Raw genomic sequence first — 26346 nt, 5'->3', positions numbered from 1 at the left:
TAAAGGCCGTTGTAGACATTTGCAGCAGTGGAGCTAATGCAGCCTACTGCCTTGGCTTGCTGGTGTTATCCCGAACATTTCCTTATATCTCTGAAGTTTGGGGTTAGGGCTATAGTTCCCACAGCTGCTCAAATGATCCAAAAATGCATCTAATTTAACAGAGTGTAGAAAAACTGGCTGTGCACAGCCCAGTTCTTAGAATTCCCAGGGTGCATACCCTTGCAGAATTTACCTCTGTTTCTGTCTTTGTTTCACGTTTGTGAGGGAGGAGGCTGTATGATAAGCTGGTTTCCTATATAGTTTTCCCCCAGTTTTAATGAGTAGGACTAGTAAGTAGTCGTGGCTACATAGTGTACTGTATGCTGACTCTTAGTGCCCTGAGTTATTTAGGTAAGTATGTAAGTTAATGTAGAAAGGAAATGTCAAAGTTCTTCTGATTGTGTAATGGTCCTGGGCAATACTGCATATAGGAAAGTCCACTGGAAATTTAAGGAATAGTGATTCCATGACTGCAGACTTTCATGACTGTTGTCTCCTTAAATAATGCAGGAACTTTAAGTGAGCAGTTGAAAGTGAACCTTAAGATGGAACTGTTTATTTCTCAGAGCTGATTTTCCAAAAGTAGTTATACGTTGATTTATGTAATTTTCCATACTTTGTTAGCATATTGAACAGCACTGAAATTTTGGAATTTTTTTCACATTTATTTGCATAGATCCTTTTTAAATTTCAGTGTACAGCTTCATTTTATTTTTTTCTCTAACCTGGTCATTATATTTCTGAATGTTGTATCTTGTCAGGGATCTGATTTTTTTTGTTCCTGATGGATTACCACTTATTGAACTAATAATGTGTGATAGTGGGAAACTGACTGACTGTTCTGTACTCTAGAATTTGTTGCCTTTAACATTTGGGAAGAATGGATTTCTTGGTAATTGGCATGGAATTACTTTGTTATTATTAGGTATAAACTTATATTTCATTCTTTTTAATCTAGAATACTTATTAATACTGATAAAGCATCTATAGTAATATAGATCCATACTCTCTTATCTTAAATTCTGAAATATGAAAGTTCTGAAGATCTAACAAATTTTATGCCAAGGTTGGTGCCAAAATGTATTTGATGGCTGAACCTAACCTGAACTGATAGGAGGCTATTTATATTCTTAATTCAGTTCACTTTGTGTGAGTTTGTGTAAGTTTTACTCTAAAAATACTAATATGATGGAATATGGATTATTACATGAACACTGCTGGGGTGTTACATGCTGTGATATATTTGCTGTAGTGCTAAAATAAAAATTCTGAATTCTGGTAAACCTCTCATCCTAAGGATTTTAGATAAGGGATTATGACTCTGTATTAGTGCTAGCCATGAAATTTAAGTAACAAAACTTATTTTTTTGTTTGTTTTGAGACAGGGTCACACTCTATTGCCTCAGCTGGAGTGTAGTGGCGTGATCAGGGCTCACCACAGCCTCAACTTACCTGGCTCAGGTGATCCTCCTGCCTCATCCTCCCAAGTAGCTGGGACTGCAGGTGTGCGCCATCATCCCTGGCTCATTTTTTAAATTTTTTGTCTAGTTGAGGTCTCACTATGTTCCCCAGGCTGGTCTCTAAATCCTGGGCTTCAGCGATCCTCCCTCCTCAGCTTCCCAAAGTGCTGGGAGTACAGGTATGAGCCGCTCCACTCAGCGGGAACAAAACTTAATTGGGCAAAAATTTAGGGGGCATAATTTTTTGCCCAAGTAGAATACAAACTACTAAGAGATTGTGAAAAATGAGAGAGCCTTAAATCTAATGTTGACCTGACTTTGAACCCTGAGGTAATTGGGCTTTGCTTTTGGAGTTTGTTTTTGACATTTCTGCACTCAGGGAGTGTTCAGTTTTGTACATGTGAACAAGATTCATCCAGATTTACTTCTGTGGTGAGCATACTCTGCAAGTAATGTCATTGTGTTCTCTGTTTGTTTGAAGGGTCTGATCCAGAGTCTGCCAAGAAACTTAATAAAGTCAATAAATTTCAGCTCAGAGGTCTTCATAAATAAAGCCAGTTAGGAGGCCTTAGGTGCATTTGGCTAAAACACCAGCGTCGGTGGTTAAACTAAAATATAAAATAGATTGGTCTTAGCTTACAAAAAGAGATGACCATAGGGACGTGGTTATATGCCTCTCTTTACTGTCCTTAGTTGCTTTTTTCATTTGTCTAACACCTTCTAGCCATTTAATCTGACGGCTTGATCCTTCCAGCCATCTGGTAAGATCTCACCTCTTGGATCTGGGTGGCCTGGGTTCTAGTCCCGTGCTGCTACTTAATCCTCGTGTCCATGGGTAAAGCATGCACTTTCTGGACTCTGTTTCTCCATCAGTAAGATGGGGATGATGAAAGCTACCCTGCAGAAAACTTCTGTAAACTGTCAGATTTTTTGTTTCTTCTTGGGAATTGCAGAAGTAATTACAAATTTTCTTTTAGAGACAAGATTGAAAAATATCTGATTTTTTTTTTTTTTTTTGAGATGGAGTCTCGCTCTATCGCCAGGCTGGAGTGCAGTGGTGTGATCTCGGCTCACTGCAACCTCCACCTCCCGGGTTCAAGCAATTCTCCTGCCTCAGCCTCCCAAGTAGCTGGGACTACAGGCACCCGCCACCACTCCCAGCTAATTTTTGTATTTTTAGTAGAGAGGGGGTTTCACCATGTTGGCCAGGATGGTCTCCATCTCTTGACCTCGTGATCTGCCCTCCTCAGCCTCCCAAAGTGCTGGGATTACAGGCAGGGGCCACCATGCCCGGCTAAATCTCCTGCAGGCTGTCCGCTTTTCTCCCACCTCTTCTCATCCTTTTCTCCCTTCTCCTCTTCCTCTTCCTAGAAGTGTAGTTTTGCAGCAGTGTTGAGGCTTATATGTTACTATCATTATGTTCAGGAGCAGTCATAAACTTGAGGCATTTACAGGGACTATACTTTCTCTCTCCTAGACTGACAACTGCAATAATGTTAATAATAGCAAGAGTTAAGAGTTAGTGTGGTAGTTAGAATACTGTGTGCATTTTATTTTGTTTTAAAACAGAATAGTTCCTTGTAAGTAGAGTAGAAGACCTTTATTAACTGAATCATTTGAAAGTATGTTGTCACCCTGAAGCTCTTTCATACTCCAGTATTTTGTGTAGTTCCTATGAACATGAGCATTTTCTTACATAACCACAATACAGCCCTCAAAATCAGGAAATTAACAATGAAAATATTATTACCATGGTATTCTCAGGCCCTATTCAAATTTTGCCGGTGTTCCTAATAAAAACCTACAACAGAAGGATCTTGTTTGGCATTATGGATTTAGTTGTCATATTTGTTTAGTCTCCCTAAATCTGGAACAGTTTTTCAGTTGCTTCTTGGCTTCATGACCTTGGAAGAGAATAGGCCAATTATTTTGTATCCTGTCCCTCAGTTTGCGTTATTGTTATTATTTTTTTAAATAGCAATGGAGTATTATTATGTTGCCCAGGCTAGAGTGAGGTGGCTATTCGTAGGTACGGTTTAAGTGCACTGCAGCCTAGATTAAGTGATCCTCCCTCCCCCCTCAGTGATCCTCCCGGGCTCAAGTGATCCTCCTGCCTCAGCCTCCCTAGTAGCTGGGACTACTGGTGTATGCCACTGTGCCCAGCTGTCCCTCAGTTTGCATTTATGGTGTTTCCTTATTATTAGAGTTAGATCGTGTATCACAGAAATTTTGTGTTCTTTTCTTCTGTATCCTGTCAGTATACAATTCTTATTTGTCCAGTTGCTGGTAATGTTCACTTTGACCAGTTGCTGGACGTGATGTCTGCCAGGTTTTGCCATTGTACGGTGTCTCTTTTTCCCTTTTTAATTAATAACCATTTTGTGGGAGGTTGCTTTGTGACTGTGTAGATCTCATCTTCATCAAACTTTCGATTTATTCATTTATTTAGCGGAATAATGGCCTCCTATTTTATTTAATTGTTTATAACCTGCTGCTGTTGTTATTCATTTTGAGGTCAGATTGTCCCAGTGTTTGGAGAATGATATTTTAAAGCCTAGATTTGGTGCTAAGTGTGCTCATTACTTTGTGTTGCTGCTCTCTGACCTTCTGAGAAACAGAGCTAGGGAGTGCGTGTGTTTGTATCTATCGCATATATAATGCACACACTTGCACCTATAGTTTTGTATTTATGTGTGTATATTCATAAGTTCATGTGAAATTCTCCAAGTTCAATCCAGTACTACAGAATTTCTGCTAGTTTATTCCCTTTTCCTTATGTGTAACATTCTTCTTTAACATTAAGAAACCTTATTTCATTATTTTTAATGTCTTTATTTCTTAATTTTCTGTCACTTTGCTCTGTGACCTTGGGACCATTTTTTTCCTCAACATAAATCTTTATACTTAAGTGGAAAAGTTAACAATCTAAAACACCTGTATTTCAACTAATTTGAATTTGAGACATTCTAAAATTTACTTGCATTTGAGTAACAGTTCCCTTTTCCACTCACCACAGCTCGTGGTCTTTGTGTAGCTTTTGAAGATGAGCAGCTAGAGCTGGATACAAATTTTTTCCTGTTTGCTTTTATCTGCCATCACATTTGAATTCTCAGAAACATTTACCTGAGATGGAAAATATTGGAGATGGTTGAGAGTACATGTATTTTTGGAAAACAAAGCCTACTGAAGTTAAGATAACTTTAATAAAACAGGACAAAAGCCTGTTTTTCATTTGATCATTTGATTTGATCATTTCAAAAACCCTTTGATCATTTCAAAAACCCTTTGTCAGATAACATCTAGGAATGTTACCTGGAGTAATGGAATAACACATAACAAAACTTTTAACTGCGGAGCTGAGCTCCAAAGAATTAAGAGAAACTGAAAACTAAAGCAGTAAGCTGATCTTTCAGTAGCTCATGGTGAGGCTGGATTGAGTTTGTTAACATTTTCCAACCTAGAGGGGAGTAACAGGGAAACCCACCTGTTTAGGGTTGGGATTCTGGGCCCTTCAGAATATGAGAACTCTAGGATAAGAAGGCAATATAAAAAGTGGTCTCATGCCAGTAAACCCTTCAAGATACCTGGCAGAAGCATATGTAAAATGTTTTTTAATGGGAGACACCCTCATCCAAGATCCTGTAGGATCCCCACAGATAAAATATCCTTGAATGCCAAGCTCACCGTCAGAAATATCGGAAGAAACCATGTACCATTAACTGTGGTCAGATGAGACAAACAGCAAGACACACCCGAGAACTTCAAATACTGGAAGCTTCAGAAAGAGACTGTGTAAAAGGCTTAAATAAAATATCACTTTCATTTCTCTCTCATGTAAGCAGAGTTTGAAAGGAAGCACTCCTAGACTAGGACCTCACAGTCATCAGGGGTCCACCCTTTACTACCTTGTCTGCCACTGTTCTCTTGTTTCAAGGTTGGCAATGTAGTGATGGCCATTACATCCAGATTTCCGCCTGGAAGAAAGAGGAAATAGGTAAAAACTGCATACCTTCTCCCTTTAAAGGCAGTTTTTATAATTTGCATTGGATAATTTTTTTAATCTCATTAGACCGAAAAGAAAAATAAATCAGGCTGGGTTTGGTGGTTCATGCCTGTAATCCCAGCACATTGGGAGGCTGAGGCGGTGGATCACTTGAGGTCAGGAGTTTGAGACCAGCTTGATCAATATGGTGAAACCCTGTCTCTACTAAAAATACAAAAAAAAAGGGCCAGGGGCAGTGGCTTATGCCTGTAATCCCACCACTTTGGGAGGCCAAGGCAGGTGGATCACCCGAGGTCAGGAGTTCAAGACCAGTCTGGCCAACATGGGAAACCCCGTCTCTACTAATAATACAAAAATTTAGCTAGGTGGGGTGGCGTGCACCTGTAACCCCAGCTACTCGGGAGGCTGAGGCAGGAGAATTGCTTGAACCCAGGAGGCAGAGGTTGCAGTGAGCCGAGATTGTGCCATTGTACTCCAGCCTGGGCAACAAGAGCAAAATTCTGTCTCAAAAAAAAATTAAAAATAATAATATTAGCTAGGCATGGTGGTGCACACCTGTAATCCCAGCTACTTGGGAGGCTGAGGCAGGAGAATCTATTGAACCCAGGAGGTGGAGGTTGCAGTGATCCAAGATTGTGCCATTGCACTCCAGCCTGGGTAACAAGTGAAACTCTGTCTCCCCCCTCCCCGGACCCCCCCCAAATAAAAGAGAAAAAGAAAAATGAATCAGACTCATGCTTTACAGGTGAATTCTACCAGTGTTCCAGAGAACAGAGAAAGTTGTTATGGGTCCCCTGAGTCATTTTATGAAGCTAATAAAACCTTTATTATAAAACCAGGTTAAAAAAATAAAATTTATAGGTTCAATCTTATGAACATGAATGTAAAATGTTTAAATGAAATGTTAACAAACGGAGTCTAGCAAGGTAAATATGCATGTCCAAATTTATAGAATATAAGAATGCCTTAATAATTTATCTGTTAGCATATGTTGCCTCTTCGACATATAGAAGAAGAAAACATAGACAATCATCTTTTTCTTAATTTTTAATTTTTGTGGATACATAGCGTATGTATGTGGTACATGAGATGTTTTGATACAGGCATACAATGCATTATAGACACATCATGGTAAAATGGGTTGTCCACCCCCTCAAGCATTTATCCTTTGTGTTAAAAACAATCCAATTATACTATTTTAGTTATTTTAAAATGTACAATTGGATTATTATTGACTATGGTCACCCTGTTTCACAGTCAAATACTAGACCTTATTCATTCATTCTTTTTTTGTACCCATGCAATCATCTTAATGTAGAAAAAGCACTTGATAAAATTCAACGCTCTGTAATAATTGGGGAGGGGACTCTTAGAAAAGGAAAATTAATTGTAGAATGAATTTCCTTAATCTAACAGAATACTTACCATAAACTTACAGCAAGCACCATAGTTAAAGGCAGAGTGTGGAAACTTTTTCCTCTGAAACCAGAAACAATAGCAGGATTTCAATATCCATTAAGACTTGAAGAAGAAAATATGTGAGGGTTGGAAATGAAAAAATGAACATTTATTAATAAAGTATAATTTTCACCATAGGAAATCTGAGAAAACTTGTGAAAAAATTAGTTTTATTGTTGGTGTTGGTTTTGTTTTGTGTTGTGTTTTTTTTTTTTGTTGAGGTGGAGTCTCGCTCTGTTGCCCAGGCTGGAGTGCAGTGGTGCAGTCTGGCCTCACTACAGCTTCTGCCTCCCAGGCTCAAGTGATCCTCCCACTTCAGACTACTGAGTAGCTGGGACTACAGGTGCATGCCATCACGCCTGACTTATTTTTGTATTTTTAGTAGAAGCTGGGTTTCACCCCATTGGCCAGGCTGGTCTCAAACTCCTGACCTCAAGTCACCCACCACTTCGGCCTCTCATTATATTTGTGAGCCCCCGGGCCCATCCAAATTGTTAAAGCTAATAGGTAAATCAGCAAGCTTCCTGGATGGATGGATGGATGGATGGATGGACAGATAGATAGAAAGATGGACAGATAGATAGAAAGTTAGATAGATAGATAGATAGATAGATAGATAGATAGATAGATAGATAGATAGATAGATAGATAGAAAACTCAGTTCAGTTCAGGCCGGGCGCGGTGGCTCACGCCTGTAATCCCAGCACTTTGGGAGGCCGAGGCGGGTGGATCATGAGGTCAGGAGATCGGGACCATCCTGGCTAACAAGGTGAAACCCCGTCTCTACTAAAAATACAAAAAATTAGCCGGGCGCGGTGGCGGGCGCCTGTAGTCCCAGCTACTCGGGAGGCTGAGGCAGGAGAATGGCGTGAACCCGGGAAGCGGAGCTTGCAGTGAGCCGAGATTGCGCCACTGCAGTCCGCAGTCCGGCCTGGGCGACAGAGCGAGACTCCGTCTCAAAAAAAAAAAAAAAAAAAAAAAGAAAACGAAAACTCAGTTCCATGTCTAGATATGCGGGGCAATTAGTAAATGAAATTTAAATAAACTGCTTCTGAATACTTCTCCTCTCTTGATGTGAAGTTAGTACTAATTAGAATATCTCTTCCAAACTTTTTCTCTAGAATTTCCTGAGTGTTGCTTCCCCTCCCCGCCCCGCCTCCCCATTTTGGCTTTAAAGTTTCTTGTTAATGAATACAACGTTGTAGACATTTTTTGTTTCTGGGAAGTAGGAAATTCTTTAAGATAAAACTTAGGCAATTTTCATGTTACAGCTTTTACTTACCTTTGATAGAGGTACATAATCTACTCACTACAAATTTAAGTATTATAGTGGACAAAGTGGTTTTTTTAATTTTAGAAAAAATTGATTTGAATTGTGTATTCTTCTCTCCCACTCAGCTCTCATTTAGTCTATTCAGAAGTGCTAATCCTACACCTGTTGTTCACTTGGGATTAATAGGAGGAGAGAAGGATGTCTGGGATCCAGAGATTATAGATGTACATGGGGATCACAGGACTTCTGGGAAGGCCTTGGCAGTTGGCAACAGATGGAAATACGAGGGTGCCAGGTTGCAGATTGTATGTACATCCCTGCAGGCTGGCAAACGATGGGCTAGAAAATGTGGTGGCAGGAGTGAGGTCCAGGTGGGTAGTCAGCATCAGTACACAGGCAGCCCGTGTTCAAGAGAACTAGGAGAGAAAACAAGGCCCCTCTCTGGGATGCCCTTAAGCACTGAGTAGGGTACCAGGGTGAACTCAGTGTAAAGCAAGGCTTGCTCCATGGAATCAGAGCCCCATTTCTAAAATTGGAATTTGTGGTTGAATGTGACCTAGTGGCTAACCTAATTATGGAACTGCTCGGTTTCAAGACTCCTTGAGATTCTCTGACCAGGAGGAGGAGGAGGAGGACTGATCCTATATTCTTGAGATTGGAGTGAGTTTGGAGCTGGGTGTTAATTGACTTCTGTTTGGGGGTGAGAGCACCATGACTGCAGGCAGGGAGGCAGGTCATTCATTGCCCCTTGTGTCAGCTCTCCAGATGCCATGAGAGCTGATGGTTGTGGCCGGGCGTGGTGGCTCACGCCTGTAATCCCAGCAGTTTGGGAGGCCGAGGCGGGAGGATCACGAGGTCTGGAGATTGAGACCATCCTGGCTAACACGGTGAAACCCTGTCTCTGCTAAAAAAAAAAAAAAAATTAAAAAATTTAGTTGGGTGTAGTGGCGGGCACCTGTAGTCCCAGCTACTCGGGAGACTGAGGCAGGAGAATGGCGTGAACCTAGGACCCGGAGCTTGCAGTGAGCTGAGATTGCACCACTGCACTCCAGCCTGTGCAACAGAGCGAGACTCCATCTCAAAAAAAAAAAAAAAAAAAAGAAGGGAGAACTGATGGTTGTGGAGGCTGGTGGATATATTTTCTGTTTGTTTAATATATTTAAAATTTTTCTGTTTGGAATTTTATATTCATAATTCAAAGAGGAGTTATGAGACTAGTACAAGAAAGAACCTCCATATATCTTTTACTCAATTCACCAGTTGTTAGTATTTTGCCATATTTGCTTTATATTTATTTTATTTTATTACCTTTTAAACTTTATTATAGGTTTGCTCTATTATAGGTTGAGCATCTCTAATCTGAAAATTCGAAATCTAAAATGCTTCAAAATCCAGAATGCTTTGAGCACCGAAGTGATGCCACAAGTGGAAAATTCCACTCCTGACCTCCTGTGACAGATCACAATCAAAACCCAATCAAAACCTTGTTTCATGCACAAAATTATTAGAAATATACACTTTATGAGATAACCTCTATCTCTTTTTTTGCTGTATTGCTGTCTGTGTTTACCATCTTTGCTGTCTGACTCTCTCTGTGGTACAGGTTGAATCTGTCCCTTACCTGAAACGCTTGGGGTTAGAAGAGTGTTTTGGATTTCATGTTTTGGTGGGGGAGGGGGAATTTTGGAATATTTGCTTATTCTATATCCTTAATCCAAAAATCTAAAACGTTCCAGTATTTCCTTTGAGCATCATGTTGGTGCTCAGAAAGTTGCAGATTTTGGAACATTTTTGGTTTGGGATTTTGGGATTAGGATAACTCAACCTGTATTTTCCTTTCCTGAACAATTTGGGAATGAAATATAGACATCACACCCTTTCCCCTGAATACTTTAGTGTGTATTCCCAAGAACAAGAAAATTATCTTACATAACTATGGTATGATTATCAAAATCAGAAAAGGTAACATTAATACAATATGATATAGTCCAATATAGTTCATATTCAGATTTTGCCAGTTTTTTCAACAACGGCCTTCATAGTAATTTTCCCCATGATCATAAGCCTCATTTAATTGTTGTGTCTCTTTAATATCCCTTGTCTCTCTTTGTTTTCACAACATGTTTCCTCACCTTTTTTAAAGATTTTTTATGACATCGACCTTTTTGAAGAGTTAGAAGCCAGTTTTGTCAAGTGTTCTTCAGTTTGAGTTTGTCTGACGTTTCCCCACGATTAGATCTAGGTTATGTAATTTTGGCCAGCCATACTATATGAGTGATACTGTGCCCTTTCCACTGCTTCAGATAGAGTTCTTTGAGGTACAAAATAGGAGAGTTGGGTGGTTCCAATAAAGATGATTTAGGTAGTGTCCTTGTCCCTGAAGGACTTAGAATCTAATAAGAGAGGTGCAGTTCCCCAGAGAGGTACAGTGAGAGGATTCCGGGGGCTCCTGCATTTCTGAGCTGCTGCCAGGAAGGAAGTGTCTTCAGAGTGGAGCTGGCTGGCATGGTGGTAGTGTGGGTGACTTTTCCACGGGAGAGAGTGTGAAGGAGAGGAGATCTGGGGTGTGGCCGCTGGGGTACGCTGCCCCTGAGGGGTAACAAGAGAAAGGGCTGTCTGTCTTGGTGGCATGGCATGTGAAGCCAACTGTGAGATGCCAGCACCAGGAAAGACAATGAAGAGGATATCCACAAAGGCTGGCGCCACCATTGGAATCCATTATCACAGGGGAAGGCCATTGGATTTTGGTAACTCAGGGCATCTAATGAGACCAAAATTAGAATCCACATTTCTTAACTTGCTGTTACAGTAACCGTTTTTATAGTGTGCTCTATGTAACAGTTTCATGGGCTTTCAGAGACTGATGAATTTATTACATATTATTTTGTGTTGATTTCTTCAAGTAAACATTTTCCATATGAAAGGGTTAGATAGTTTGTTTTTTTTTAATATATACACTTTTGGGAGGAAATTCTTTGCTGCTCATATTCATATTATTTGGCTGCTAGGTTCTAATTCCATTGCTTTTGTGTTTAGAAAGTATTTTTCTCTAGACTGTTGGTAGTAACAGCAGTTTTGGGAATATGTTGTCTCACATACCAATAAGGGAAAATGTTCTTCCAGCCTGTAGATACTTGTTTCATGTGTTAGGTCAAAGGAAAACGTATTTAAGTGTACTTGGCATTTCTTGTATTTTCTAAATTACATTATCGGCAGGATAAGAGTTTATTGAATCATAGTTTCAGAATTTAGTTTATTTCATAGCATAAACGGGAGTGCTATGGAAATGGAATTGATTCTGCATTCACTGTAGGAATCTTGAGGACACTGTGTGTTCTTTTCAACAGGCTTTAATTTCCTGACATTCCATTACATTTCTGGGAAACAGAATTGGCACTGCCCTTTCCTGCCCTATCTTGTCCTTTATAATTTTGGCGAGGTTCATGGTCTTCCATTTCTTTTTCTTTTTGTAACTGATTAATAATCTATAGAATCACCTCTTAGTTTGTAAGTGGAAACTAAGCCTGCACATCCAAAGCTAGGATTTCTTATATGGATCTGCCTTAGTATTTTGAATCAGGACCTCAAATGAGATTTTTGGATGTTCATGTGTTTGTGGCACGATGTTGAATCTTGAACCTTCCTGTCTTTCTAATTGTTAGAATTAGATTCTTCAAGCTAGACTTGATTGGGCTAGTATTACTTTAGGAAATGTTTTAATTTATTATTTGGGGAATGTTTTATTTATTATTTTTAGTTTCTTATCTAAGGAAGATTAAGCTGTTTGCAGAAAATACAGTTTTCTTTAGCTACCCTGCTCACAATACCATCTACACTGTGTCTGTACCTGTGTGACAAGGCCAAGCACTCCATAACTTTACCCGGATTGTTTGGTCTTTTTCAAAATGTTTAGAGTTTCAAAAAGAAATTTGTGAAGTTGCTTCTCTTAAGTAGCTACTACTATGTTTTTAAATGTGTTGCAGTATTTCTATTAGTTGATCTTGTGTGTAGTCATTCATATCTGTCTTTTGATTCTATTTCTTGGTGATCTTGCTTTTTAAAATCACCATTTACCTTAAAAAAAAAAAAAAAAAGACAAAACTTGCTGTTGTGCTGACAGAGCAGAGAGCATTTAACTGACGCTCCTCCGTGGCTTGGCTTGCTGAGTTCCTGACAGAGCAGGGCATTTAACTGAAGCCTCTCCATGGCTGGGCTTGCTCAGTTCCCTGCTGTTGGCTGTCTTGGATCCCCTTTCTAAGGCCCCACTTCCCTGCACACTAGCTTGGTGTGCAGGGAGAAGCTGCAGAGTCTGTTGGCTGGGCTTTATTTACGGAAACAGCAGGGTTGAGATTGATTGCGTCGTGGAGAGACAGTGTGTGGATGAGGGAGGGTCACAGCACATGCTCAGTCCTGTCAGAGTGAGGGGAAGTTTCTGCGTTCTGCGTGAAGGCTTAGGTCATAGCACAAGCTCAGTGAAAGCTCTATGAGGTCTCTGAGACTGCATGTGCCTCCATTTTGAGTTGTTAGTGTAGAAAAGGGCAGAGTTTTAGCAGAAAGTAAAGGTTCAGGAATCCAGCTAGACTCACCAGAGCCCGTGTTAGTCATGGATGATCCATTCAGCCCCTGCAGGTAGGCTATCTTCCCCTGGCCTCACCGAAACAGTGATGGGTTTTGCTGCTCTTTCTCACTTCTGAAGGTGTTTATGAATCATTTCATCATTCATAGTGCATGTTCCTGAGAGCCTTTAATTCAGCCCTAGCTGGCCATGTAGGTGGTATTGTGAAGCGTAAAATCAGAACTAAGAATGGGGACTACCGGAGAGGCATTCAGCAGATATAGAATGTGAAGCTTTGCGGGTCCCTCTGTCCCTGTCCTCTTCCCCTTACCTCTTCGGCTCGTAGTATAATCTTAACCTCAGTCGTGCTGGGTGTGTGTTGCCAAGCTTGTTTGCCTTCAAGACCTGCAGAGCAAGCCTGCAGGCCGCCCCCTTGCCTTGTGGCTAGTATGGAATGCCTGGGCCGCAGAGCAGCTCTGTTTGGATGTTTTAGGAAGGATGGTAGGTGGGCTTCTATTGGTTGCTTTGAAGGTGGGTGGAACCTTGTTTTGATTGAGAGCCTGTTTGCCAGAGCAAATTATAATTTTTGTGATCTTTTTCTGAAGTCTGACATATTCAGGGAACAGTTGTGAATTATGATTGCAACAATAACACCTTAAAATTGATTTTTTTAAAAATGAAAGGTTATGTCACATCAGTTTTTACTTAGTCTCTTGCCTTCAAAAGGAAGCAGACTCATCTTCCTTTTAGAGCTTATGGAAAATTCTTTGGCAATTAAAAAAAGTATGCATTGACTTTTGTGTTAGAAATTGAAGTTTAGGTATTTTGTTTATTTTTGTATCTGTTTTAGAATCGGATAGCATTTTTTGCATATGTGTATGTTGTCATGTGACTTGGAATTCTATTCTCTTAAATGGAGTAAAAAGAGTAGTTGGTGCTGAGAAGGCAGTCATTGACAAGGCCTCATTTCGTACCCACTGCTTGATAGCCAGACACTAGTTTCTTCTACCCAGGGGAAGTTGTGCTTTTGGGGTGTCCTGTTGCAGAGCAGGTTCAGACAGATGGCTTTCACTGTGGTTTATTTAGGGAGCCAGTCAGAATAAGATTTAGGACAAATTGAATTCTTACCCAAGTAGATATTAAATGAAGTTTTTGAATTATACTGTTTGCTCCTTTTTGTTTCCACTCCTTTTTCTTCTGATAAAGGTTAGAAAAAATTTGAATGCCACCTAAATTTTGTGCATTTGTGAGGATGGAAGAAAGCATACAATATAGAAGAATGTGCAACTGAAAAACCCTCATAGGAAGGAGAAGAAATTTACTATGCATTGATACAAGGAGAAATTCCTTGTGTAAGCTCTTAGTGGTGTAGTGTGAATTTGGAGTGTTGCATGGTCAACTCTTTCCAGGGAGGCCCTTGATTTTAGTGGAAAGTTTTTAGGAAGGCTAATGTTGGTGAATTCTAGTCACTGAAAATATTACTGAAGTATAATCTGTATTCTTACAGATTCAATTTTGGGATTGCAACTAAGGAGATGAATTGTAGAAGGATAATTTAGGGTGTGCGTTTATTATTTTTGTGATCAATTTTTTTACCCATGTGAGGGCTTTCTTCCCATTGTGACCATATTTATTTGGGCATTGCACTGGGGAGTTTTGGGGAGGTACCCCATACCATATAATGTTGCTTCTGGAACTCGCCTTATTTTACTCTGTTTAAAAGCACCATTGCTCTTCCTTCCTGCTTCTTTTAATAAAAGTATCCCTTCAATAGACGAGAGGAACTGGACACTGCACCACTTTCTGTCATGCACTTGTGGGATCTGGGCAGGACTCACATTTCATGCTCAAGGAACAAACTCATTGTTTGAGTCAGGAGAATATTGCCTTTCTGTTCTAGATCTTTACCTCTTCTGAAACTTTCTTTACAGTTAACAAATAAAAATGTGAACAGGAAGCTGTGCTCACAGCCGAATCAGCTCTGGATCAGGTTCCTGCCACTGGTGTGGCTGGCCTGTGTGGGCCTAGTACAAATCTGTATTTATGGAGCTTGGATGCCGCCATCTATTTGATGGTGAAGACTTGTGGTTGCTGACTGTGATCTGTGGATATTCTGTTGTTAAGAGTCGAATTTGTCTATGTTTCAAATCCAATAAAGTAACTCTAATGAGTGTGGTATGTATTTCTTCTATATTATCCTGTCTGGGAAAAATATTTTTTGGAATGCTAAAGGCTTGCTTCAGGGCTTCTGTGCTTGTCTGGTGGAGGAGGTGAGGGAACAGCACATGGGAAGTTACTCTGGTGGTTGATGAAGTCTTTGGTCTGTGTAGCTTGAACATGGAAAAGATGCTAGTTTGTTTCATTTTGGCTTATGGTTCTGCTTCTGTTGCACTTGAGAATATCAGGAAATGTTGGGAATGTAGCAAGTAGATGTTTCAAAAAATAGAGAAGTTCACAAAGTTAATATCTTATTAGTTGTTCTTATCATTGTAATAGAATCTCGAATTCGAATCTGAGGGAGCCTCACATTTAAAGCGTTCCTCTGTCAACATAAGTTTTGCAGTCTGTCTTTGGTTGAAAGCTAGAATGAACTTGATTGTGTTTAATTGACATGTCACTTTTTTTTCTTTTTCTTTTTGAGATAGGTTCTCACGCTGTCACCCAGGCTGGATGGAGTGCAGTGGTGTGATCTCAGCTCACTGCAGCCTTGACCTCCCTGGGGACCTCCCTAGGCTAAGGTGATTCTCCTGCCTCAGCCTCCCACATAGCTGGGACTACAGGTGGGCGCCACCACACCTGGCTAATTTTTTGTATTTTCTGTAGAGAAGGGATTTCACCTTGTTGCCCAGGTTGGTCTTAAACTTCTGGCCTCAAGCAATCCATGCTGCCTTGGCCTCCCAAAGTGCCAGGATTACAGGCCAGCGTGCCTGGCCTGACACTTCATTCTTTTTTTTTTTTTGAGACGGAGTCTCGCTCTTGTTGCCCAGGCTGGAGTATGATGGTGTGATCTCAGCTCACTGCAACCTCCGCCTCCTGGGTTCAAGCGATTTGCCTGCCTCAGCCTCCTGAGTAGCTAGGATTGCAAGCATCTGCCACCATGCCTGGCTAATTTTTGTATTTTTTAGTAGAGACGGGGTTTCACCATATTGGCCAGGCTGGTCTCAAACTCCTGACCTTGGGTGATCTGCCTGCCTCAGCCTCCCAAAGTGCTGGGATTATAGGTGTGAGCCGCCCTGCCCGGCTGACACTTCATTCTTAATCTTCTTTTCACTTCTTCCTTGACTCGTGGCTACTGTGTTAATTTATGAATTAGAAGACTCTAATATATCTAAGACCAGATGTCTGTGATTCTCTAGTTGTTCTTTTTTCCTGATTCTTTTCCTTCTGAATTTGTTTTCTTTTCCATTTTACTTTGTGTATTCATTTATTCAACATATTCATACCAAAGACGCATTTGCCAGGTACTTTTTGTTTGTTACTCAACCGAGTTGTCTTCCACCAGAAAACCGTGTATTCTAAGACTGTAACATAAATGTCTGACAGGATGAGAGAGAAGGTAGAAAATAATAGCTAAAGGAATATTTTAGATGGTGTGTACATTCACAAATCTTCTCCTAAATAAGCACAGATAATTAGTTATCATCTCTTCTGAGCAGTTTCTGATAGGGGCATGCCTGTATTCCTGCAACTGTGGGTGATAAAGCATGAGTCTGATTTATTTTTCTTTTTGGTCTAATGAGACTCATGCTTGAATGTACTTTTAAAACAATTCTGAAAGATAACTGATCTCATATTGTATACTCTATGATACTTTGAGTCTAAGGTAAAACACTTAATTCAACTGGGAAAATTAGAGATTATTTCTATCAAACTTCTTTGAGCTACACATTTATTTGTGATTATTTGATTTTTTTCCCTATTGGACATCAAGCTTTTGGGGCAGGGGCCAAGTCTATTCTTACGGTCTCCATTTCTAGTAGAGTACCTGGCAAATGGGTCTTTGGTATGAATATGTTGAATAAATGAATGCATCATCTGTGGTAAGAGGAAAGGCTAGATTTGGAGCCAGGTAGTGTGGTTCAGATTCCACCTAATAAGTGACAATTGGGCAAGCGGTGACATTCGACAGGTTCCTTCCCTCCTCTGAGCTTCATTTTTCTCATGGGTAATCTGGAAATAAATATTTCTTACAGTTTTTGTAAAGATTAGATGAAAACAACTTGGAAGTGCTTGGCACATAGTTGCTTAGTACATTATTGTTATTAATTCGCAGGTCAAATGTACAGTCTCAAGCTCATGTAGATATGATTATCTCAACAACAACATATATTTTTAAATTTTTAATTAAAAAAAATAGGCATGCAGGTCTCACTTTGTTGCCTGGGTTGGTCTCGAACTCCTGGCCTCAAACTATCTTCCTGTCTTGGCCTCCCAAAATAGTAGGATTATAGGCATGAGCCACTGTGCCTGGCCAACATCTTTTTATTTTTAATAGCCTGTTCAACTAAGACAATGCTAGGGATTGTTTTAGGAATTACACTAATTATTAACCACCAGTATGTTTAATAACTATTTACTGATCCACTTTCTTCTTACTCTCTTTGAGTGTTTATGTTTTTCTTTATACATCTTGGAGTTCTTTTTTTTTTTTTTTTTGAAAAAAAGAAGCTCTACTTCCATAATTTATAATATTGGGTGTGTTCAGCATTAAACATTTCCTGCCACTTTCTCACTTACACACACTAGGTGCATGTGTGTGTGTTAGTTATTGCCTGTTTGTGTTCTCTTCCTTCTATATTCATACCACTGCAGCGAGGAGGAATAAGGCAATTGTCATGTTTTTTTATAACATTTCCCTGAGGGGACAAAGAAACCTTTAGACGTGTTGTAGACATGCTTGCTTGGTCCAAAGTCCCTTTTTTTTTCTGGGGGTGCTTCATTCAGCTTTGTTATACAGTTTGATTTCAATATGCAGAAAGCTAGCACCATCTTGGGTCAGGAGAGCAGCTTAATCTACAGTGACTGCTGCTTTGTAAGTGGGTTTCGGTCATAGTGGTTTTTTTTTTTTTTTTTTTTTTAAAAAGTTTTTTGGCTGAATCTCCATGTGTGTGCAGGCAGCTTTGTTAGGCCGCAGCCCCTAAACTTTGCCACAGGCCATTACAGTAAAGTTCCCTAGGAGCCTGTGGTGGAATGTTGTTTTATGACGTTGCCAGATACACGGTAGGTTACCACATAATGGAGAAGAGAGAGAAGGCAGATAAGAAATTTAGACAACGGAGCAAAGTCACTATAGCACTTTGAAACTGGATCTTTCTCACCTGTTAAATTTTTTTGACCAGTTTTTTTCCTGACATTACTCATACATTATTGTGTGTGGAGGCCATATTTACTGCATCTTACCAGCATGGAAATTCTTATTATTCTTCAGGCAATGCCAAATTTCTAGTTCTGGACCCTGAATTATATTTAGGAGGACCCTGTGGGAGAGCTGCCGGTGTGGCCTGGAGTCTTCTTCAGTAATTAACTCAGTGTGACCCCTTAAAAGAGCACTTTTCTTTCCTCAGGCCTTGATTTCTTCTATTAAGCTAGAAGATTGGATCAATGGCCTCTCAGGAACTTTCCACAGAGAAAATTTAGAATTTTATGATTTTGGATTTTGGACAAGTTCTTGTGTTGGCCTTTGTATTTATTTGTGTGTGAATATGGAAGTGGTAACTTTAAGTTGACTAAATCTCTTTGTTTTTTCATTTGTATTTGTTTTTAGTTTTATTTTTGATTGAATAATGAATTTTGTTCCTGTTAGGCAGTTTAATCAAACCTACGTTTAAGTTAATTTTGCTTGGAGGGCTGGCTTTCTGTCACGGGGACTTCACTAGCTAAGCTTTGCAGCAGAGCCCTTGCTTGCTGTCTGTGGCTAAGCAGTAGTTGAGTTAGAATATTGGAGTCATTTATTTATTAAAAATGTATCTAGTAAGAGCCAGTGAGTTCTGCATTATGGTGACCAAAACCAGTTTTAGTTCTTACCCGCATGTACTTCCAGTCTAGAGGGCAAGACAGCCATTCAAAGAAATAACTACAAAAAATAAATATAAAATCCTGACTGTGATATGGGTGGAAGGAGAGGTAAGTGGTACTTCGGGAACTCATAATAGCAGGATTAGCTTCCATTCTCACTTATTGCCAGTATATAGAGTTTAATAATATTAATGACCCCTAAGCAATAGGTACTATGTCTAGTTCTTTCCATAAATCATCTTTTATTTTTATAGCAACCTTGCATAATAACATTATCAACTTCATATCATAGATGAGGAAACTAAGGAATTAGATTTAATTGTGTCCTCAAAATCACAGAGCAAACAAAACCTGGGTACTGAAACTTATTTTTAAAATTTTATTAGCGACAGGGTCTTGCTCTGTTGCCCAGGCTGGAGTGCAGTGGTGTGATCATAGCTCACTGCAACCTCAAAACTCCTGGGCTCAAGTGATCCTCTTGTGTCAGCCTCCCAACTAGCTGGGACTGCAGGTGCATTTTACCATGCCTGGCTAATTTTTAATTTTTGTTGTTTTTGTTGTTTGGTTGGTTGGTTGGGTTTTTTGTTTGTTTGTTTGTTTGCAGAGACTAGGTCTTGCTATGTTGCCTAGGCTGGTCCTGAACTCCTGGGCACAAGGGACCCACCCACCTTGGCCACCCAAAGTGCTGGGATTACACACATGAGCCAGCCACCATGCCTGGCCTGATACTAAAATTTTAATTCAGGTTCATTTAATTCTGAAGACCATGCTCTTTCCCTGCTTTTGAACATCTAGACTCAGGTGTGGGTGTGACAGTGTCATGGGAGATCCTAATAGGAAGTACAATGATGTTTCTTTTAATGTTTGTTTGTTTATTTGTTTATTTATTTATTGCTGTTTCTTAAGGAGCAGGGCTAACCCACAGAAAGTGTGCCCAGAGTCGGCCAGCACAATGATTTTATTCAGATTTATGGAAATTTTTCTCTAAAAATGAATGGGAATATATGATGGGATAGAATACAACATTCGCATGGCTTTTTAAGATACTATGTTAGATTTTAAAAAGAAATTTCAGACTTGTTCAGGGCAGCTTTGAAGTATGTGTTCATGCTGGGGAAAATTGAGAAACCCAGCATATTGCACTAGTCTTCCTTCTTAATCCTCGCTTTCACTCCTACCTCACAATCCATCTAAAAAAGTGATTCTGATAAATTGCCTTTTGGTTTTCTTAAAATGTAGTGTATTTTGTTCTGGACCCACAGACTTCTTCTGTGGTCATTTTCTAAATGTGTACTAAGTAGCGTTTCTAAGATCTTCATTCTGTTGATGCCATGTCAGTCTTCCTGCTCAACTTAATACCCTGTGGAAAAGATAAGAATGTCTGCTGTGTGATATTTACCATCTGAAGGACAGGGAGAGAGATTTCTCAGTGATCTCATTCATACATGACGCCAGCCACAGAACAAGGGTCTGACTTGAGCCTTTTCTGTCCCAGCACCTTGGGAATGGGCCACAGGCTACACGACTGTTAGGACCCAAGGCTTGGGGAGGGGCTGAATGAGGGGGTCAGCTCTTGCCCTTAGTTGCTTCATGGTGGTGCCTTCTGTTCATGTGTTCTTCCCATATCTCTATCCTCCTCCCTCATCTTCCCTTGTAGAATCAAGTGCCTATCTTAAGCAGTCACCGTGATCACATAGAGATCTTTGGGCGTCTTTGGTGAATGTTCACAGAACATTGCCTTCCTGCCCCTTCCCCTTTCTTCAGGGTGAAGAAGTGGCCGCATCATGTTCTGGGCCAAGCCTCTGGGTTGGGCTGGGATCCTGCATCTAGCAGGCATGCTCTTCTCACAGACCCTCCCTTTGCCTGCCATCGCCACCTCCATCTCCTCTGCAAAGATGCTTCTCCCTTTTTGATATTCATTTACAGGCTCCCTGCTCCTTTCTGTCCATTCCCTGTTTACTTCTTAGAATAAAACGTTTCCATGGTAACAGGTTACTTTTCAAAGGGAACATCTTGTCATTTTATTTAATCCACTGCAGTTGAAGAGGACTGAAATATTAAGTTGTAGTTGCTATGGATACTGCTTTGTTACACTGGGGTTTTTTTGTATCAGATTTCATATACAATGACTTTCTGTTTTTTTAATACTTCAGGAATAAAAACAACAACTTACCATTATTGTTGTAATTTGGCTTCTGGAACTATTTTTTTCATATTCTAAAACAAAGATTTGTAGAATAATGTAGGCTGAACTTAAGTTGTTTTGAAAAACATATTATTTACATTAGCTACACAGAGAAATTCCTTCTTTTGCTGGGGATGATAGTGACACTTCTTAATTCGGTTTTTGTAATATGATTCACAGTATAAAGATGTCTCCAAGATGATGAATCCACAGCAGAAATCCTTAGTAAACATAAGGAAAAAATAAATATGTCACTTGGAGTTAATTTCTTGAATCTCATTGCTAATAAGCTGTGGCCCTCTTTCTTCAGTTACTGGTTCAGCTGTGTACAGTGTAATTTGAGGTTGATCTGTTTGTCCTTTAATCAGCTTTTCTCATGTCTGGTGTTCTTTCTGATTTCCCATCTGCCTGTAGTATATCCCCCCCTTCATTTGACTTTTTTAAAACTTTAAATTTTTTGGATTCACAGGAAGTTGCAAAGATACCACAGAGTGGTCTCATCTTTTGTAACTGTAATACGATACCAAAACCAGGAAACTGGCATTAGTAGATTGTGTGCGTGTAGTTCTGTGCCATTTTATCACATGGATAGCTTTGTGTAACCACCACAACAATGAAGAGACAGAGCTATCCATCACTACAAAGCTCTCCCTTTGTGGTCGCACCCTCCGCCTCCCTCCCTCTCCCCACCATCTCTAACACCTGGCAATCACGAATGTGTCTCCATTTCTGTAATTTTGTCATTTCAAGAGTATTATATACATTGGCCTCTAACTTTGATAGGTTTTTCTCTTTCATCATGACTTTCAAACTTAAAAAAATTCTTTTGATCATTTTGTCTTGCTTGGGTGTTTGAAATAAACATAGAACCAAAATAGGGAAAGGGATATGGATTCTCATCATTCTGTTTGTAATTAATTGTGTGATTTTGGTTCAGTAACTTAATCATTCTGCCATATGGGAGTGTGATTGAGAGCTCTGACTTTGGAGTCAGCTGACCTTGAGTAGGATTCCTGATTTCTCCACTTATTTGCTGTTTAATCTTGGGCAACTGCGTAACGTCTCTTGGCTTCAGTGACCTGACCTGTACACTTACTACAATAGCACCTATCTTACAGGGTCGCCTGTAAGATTAGATAAGAAAATAAATGGAAATTGCTTACCTTGCAATGCCTGGTACATAGTAAATGTTCAATGGATATATTAGTTGCTTTATTAATGTTAAAATTAGTATTGTTATTATTATTACCTATGGAGATACTGCCTCATAGAGTTGTCGTGGAATAATGAAATAATATGTGCCCAGCATAGAAAGCACTTAGTAATTGATAGCTAGTATTATTATTTTGCTTGTGTTTGTTATGTAACTATAATACACCTAGATTTTTTTTTTTTTTTTTTTTTTCCTCTGAGAGAGTCTTGCTCCGTCCCCCAGGCTGGAGTACACTGGCGGGATCTCGGCTCTCTGCAGCCTCCATCTCCTGGGTTTGAGCAATTTTTCTGCCTCAGCATCTTAAGTAGCCGGGATTATAGGTGCCCACTACTGCACCCACTACCACGCTTGGCTAATTTTGTATTTTTAGGGGTGGGGCTTCTCCATATTGGCCAGGCTGTTTTGGAACTCCTGACCTCGGGTAACCTGCCCACCTCAGCCTCCCAAAGTGCTGGGATTACAGGCACGAGCCACCGCACCCGGCCTACACCTAGATTTAAGATAACGTATGTGAAAACTCTTAAGATGAGGATAAAGATAGATGTGTGTGTATGTTGCATTATTCTGGATATTACTTGCATCTTTGGTTTCTTAATTCATACAGTAGTATCCTTTATATGTCTTGGCTAGGATTCATACTGCCTTTGGTCTGGATTTTTCTTCCGAAGTTGATGACCACCCTGGCTTTGACTAGACCTACTTTGTTAATTCAGCAGCATTGTACATCCAAGCAGAAACCTCTTTAGTAGCTATGTTTTGTTGTTGTTGTTGTTGTTGTTTGTTTGTTTTTTGAGACAGTCTTGCTCTGTCACTCAGGCTGGGGTGTAGTAGCATGATCTTGGCTCACTGCAACCGCTGCCTCCCAGACTCAAGCAATTCTCCTGCCTCAGCCTCCTGAGTAGCTGGGACTACAGGCGCCTGCCACCACGCCCGGCTAAGTTTTGTATTTTTAGTAGTGTGGGGTTTCACCATGTTGTCCAGGCTGGTCTTGAACTCCTGACGTCAGGTGACCTGCCTGCCTCAGGTGAGCCACCACGCCCGGCCTGTTTGTTTTTTTAAAGACAGTCTAGCTCTGTTTTGCCCAGGCTGGAGTGCAGTGGTGTGATCATAGCTCACTGCAGCCTCAAACTCCAGAGCTCAAGTGATTCTCCTGGCTCAGCCTCCTGAGTAGGTGGGATTATAGGTGCGTGCCACCGTGACCAGCTAATTAAAAAAACATTTTTTATAAAGCCTGTTGCCCAGGCTGGTCTCAAACTCCTGAGCTCAAGCTGTCCTCTTGCCTCAGCGTCCCAGAGTGCTGGGATTCCAGGTGTGCACCACCACGTGTAGTGCTGTGTTGCTTTGAACACAGGATAGAAAGACACCTGAATTTCTGTGAATAGCAATACTAACATGTCTGTTAATATCAAAACATGAATTAAATGCCTTAATACCTAGAAATGAGATAATACTGTAGAGCACCTAGGACAGATAGTAAGTGCTGAAATGTTAGCTACTGTTGTTATTCATCAAAGAAGAAAGCTGGAGTCTTCTAGATGAATTTTAGCCTCCAGCACTTGCTGAAGTTCAGAATGTGCCATAATCAGTGCTTCTCAGAGCATAGCTTGTGGACCTCATTATTATTATTATTATTTCTCTTTTCTTTTCTTGTCTTGTCTTTTCTTTCTTTTCTTTTCTTTCTTTTTTTTTGAGGCGGAGTTTCATTCTTTTTTTGCCCAGGCTGGAGTGCAATGGTGTGACCTCAGCTCACTGTAACCTCTGCCTCCCGGGTTCAAGCAGTTCTCCTGCCTGAGCCTCCCGAGTAGCTAGGATTCAGGCACACACCACCCGGTATGGCTAATTTTGTGTTTTTAGTAGGGATGGGGTTTCACCATGTTGACTAGGCTGGTTTCGAACTCCTGACCTCAGGTGATCCACCTGCCTCGGCCTCCCAAAATGCTGTGATTACAGGCGTGAGCCACCTCGCCCAGCCTATTAGTATTTTTTAATCCCAAGACTTGGCTTCCCGACTTAAAAGTCTTCTGCCCTATACCAAAAGACAGTGATTGTCTTGAGGAGAAGCCTTGGTTCCGTCGAGACATTTGAGTTAGAAGCGAAGCTAGCCACTTTTTTCATGGAATATCAGTTACTCTTTGAAAGAACAACTGACAGACAAACTGTGGTCATTCAGACGTGGGCATTTGGCAGAAACTTTCTTGAAGATGAATTAAGTGAGCTTGTTATTTCAAGGAAAACACTGATACTATTTGACAAGGCTAAGATTTGAACTTTCAAGTAAAAATTAGAATTTCGAAAAGCTTGTACTCACCACTCTGAGCCTGACAGCTTCTCTACACTGAAAGGCATTTCTTATGAGATAGGTGATATTAATATGATTTTTAAAAAATGCTGTATAAAGAACTGGTTGATATTTGAAAGATCTGCAGAACTGAGTAAACTGACATTCTCTATAAAACCAATGCATGACATTACAAAATCACATCTGAGTAGAAGATCCATTCATTCAAAGGCAAGACAGACCAATGGATTTCAGAGTAGCACAGTCAAAAGACTATTGATAGGCTTTTAGACTCACCTTGTGTACACATCTTTAAGAAATGATTACTTGTTGAGTTTTTGTTTTGTTTTGTTTTGTTTTTGAGACAGAGTTTCGCTCTTGTTGCCCAGGCTGGAGTACAATGGCACGATGTTGGCTCACTGCAACCTCTGCCTCCCAGGTTCAAGCAATTCTGCTGCCTCAGGCTCCTGAGTATCTGGGATTGCAAGCATGCAACACCACACCCGGCTAATTTTTTGTATTTTTAGTCGAGACAGGGTTTCACTATGTTGGCCAGGCTAGTCTCGAACTCTTGACCTCAAGTGATCCTCCCACCTCGGCCCCCCAGAGTGCCGGGAACTTGTTGAGTTTTTGGTGTAGTATCAAAAAGGCTATATTCTTCCCTTTTCTAGTTACATCACTGTGTTAGGCTGTATTATCTTCATATAATTTAACCACAACAATATATTGCAGCAGATTGAATTCAAAAGTAGATAGGAGAATCTAGCTGTCTTTTCTATTAAGTCAAATATTAATGAGATTTGCAAAAACATAAAATAATGCCTCACTTTTTACTAAAGGTTTCTGCTTAAATGCAATTACTTTTTATAAGAATATGTATATTGTTATGTAATGGGCTTATTGCTATTTTTAAATCAATATTTTGAAAGTTTTCAAAAATTTAGATTTCTTGGGATGTTCAGTAATTTTTATTTTTATTTTTTGTAATAAGCTTTATTTCTGTTTTGTCCACGGCTTGGGAGAGGGGTCCAGGGTAGTGGCTGGAGGCGCTGCTTAGGCAGTAGCCCTGAACTTTGAGAGGGGCTCCTAAAAGTTTGCTGGGCTCTGTAGGCTCCTCGTGGTGCTTGAGGGTGAGTCTTTTGGAAGAAACATTTACCCAGCCCAGCCTGGGGAGGTTGGTCTGGTAGTCGCCGATCTTGTTGTTGAGTTTCACCTCCTCATCTAGGAAGTGGCTCTCCGGAAGTCACAGAAGATGGGGGTCTGTGCAGGCAGAACCCAGGGCCTAAAGATCGAGGATCTGGTTCAGGTTCTTCCCCAGAGCCATGGTGGCTTCCATGGAACCCAGGGTTTTTACCCCCACTCATTTTGAGATGGCTTCTCCACATCCTGGAAATGGGTGCCGCTGCCACACACACATCTTCAAGAGACACTCAGTGCCCTGAATCTTCTTGGCCGATTCGTGGAAGAAGTCACTCATGCCTCCCAGAGCTTGCGGGGTTGAGGAGCTAACCACAAAAACAGTGGTGGCTGGTCCCAGAAGCAGGATATGGCCGAGAAGAAGGGTGCTGGAGGTTGCAAATGGAGGGGAGATTGGAGGGCAGTTGGAGGCTGGAACAGATGGAGTCCCAGGATATGTGCTGTTCAGACATTGTTGAAACAAGAGACAGATTCTGGGACCACCAAGACACACTCCAGTAATTATTAAGAGTGTAAAAGGGTACAGAGACCTAAAAGTTTGAGAAATGTTAAGTAAAAGACAAAATGTAGTCATTGCATCAAGATTGCAATTGATGATTAAGAGTGTTTCCTGGCCGGGCGCGGTGGCTCACGCCTGTAATCCCAGCACTTTGGGAGGCCGAGGCGGGTG

General features: G+C 40.5%; 1 protein-coding gene across 2 annotated transcripts in view, besides 2 other annotated features; it reads left to right on the top strand.

The window, feature by feature from the left end:
• RERE (arginine-glutamic acid dipeptide repeats) overlaps positions 1-26346 on the top strand; it is a 465237-nt gene that overhangs the window by 279020 nt on the left and 159871 nt on the right. The gene's annotated exons all lie outside the window — the stretch shown is intronic.
• Positions 13077-13371: a silencer, noted in NCBI's record as "tiled region #8357; K562 Repressive DNase unmatched - State 1:Tss". NCBI's record gives its function as "represses a minimal TATA promoter and a strong SV40 promoter by Sharpr-MPRA in K562 cells {active_cell/tissue: K562}" and the evidence as "EXISTENCE:reporter gene assay evidence [ECO:0000049][PMID:27701403]".
• Positions 13211-13260: an enhancer, noted in NCBI's record as "active region_104". NCBI's record gives its function as "activates an Ori minimal core promoter by ATAC-STARR-seq in GM12878 lymphoblastoid cells {active_cell/tissue: GM12878}" and the evidence as "EXISTENCE:reporter gene assay evidence [ECO:0000049][PMID:35858748]".

The sequence above is a fragment of the Homo sapiens genome, chromosome 1, assembly GCF_000001405.40.
Source record: "Homo sapiens chromosome 1, GRCh38.p14 Primary Assembly".
NCBI lineage: Eukaryota > Metazoa > Chordata > Mammalia > Primates > Hominidae > Homo > Homo sapiens.
Note: the sequence above shows the minus strand (reverse complement) of the source record. Positions and strands in the feature narration are given on the sequence as shown.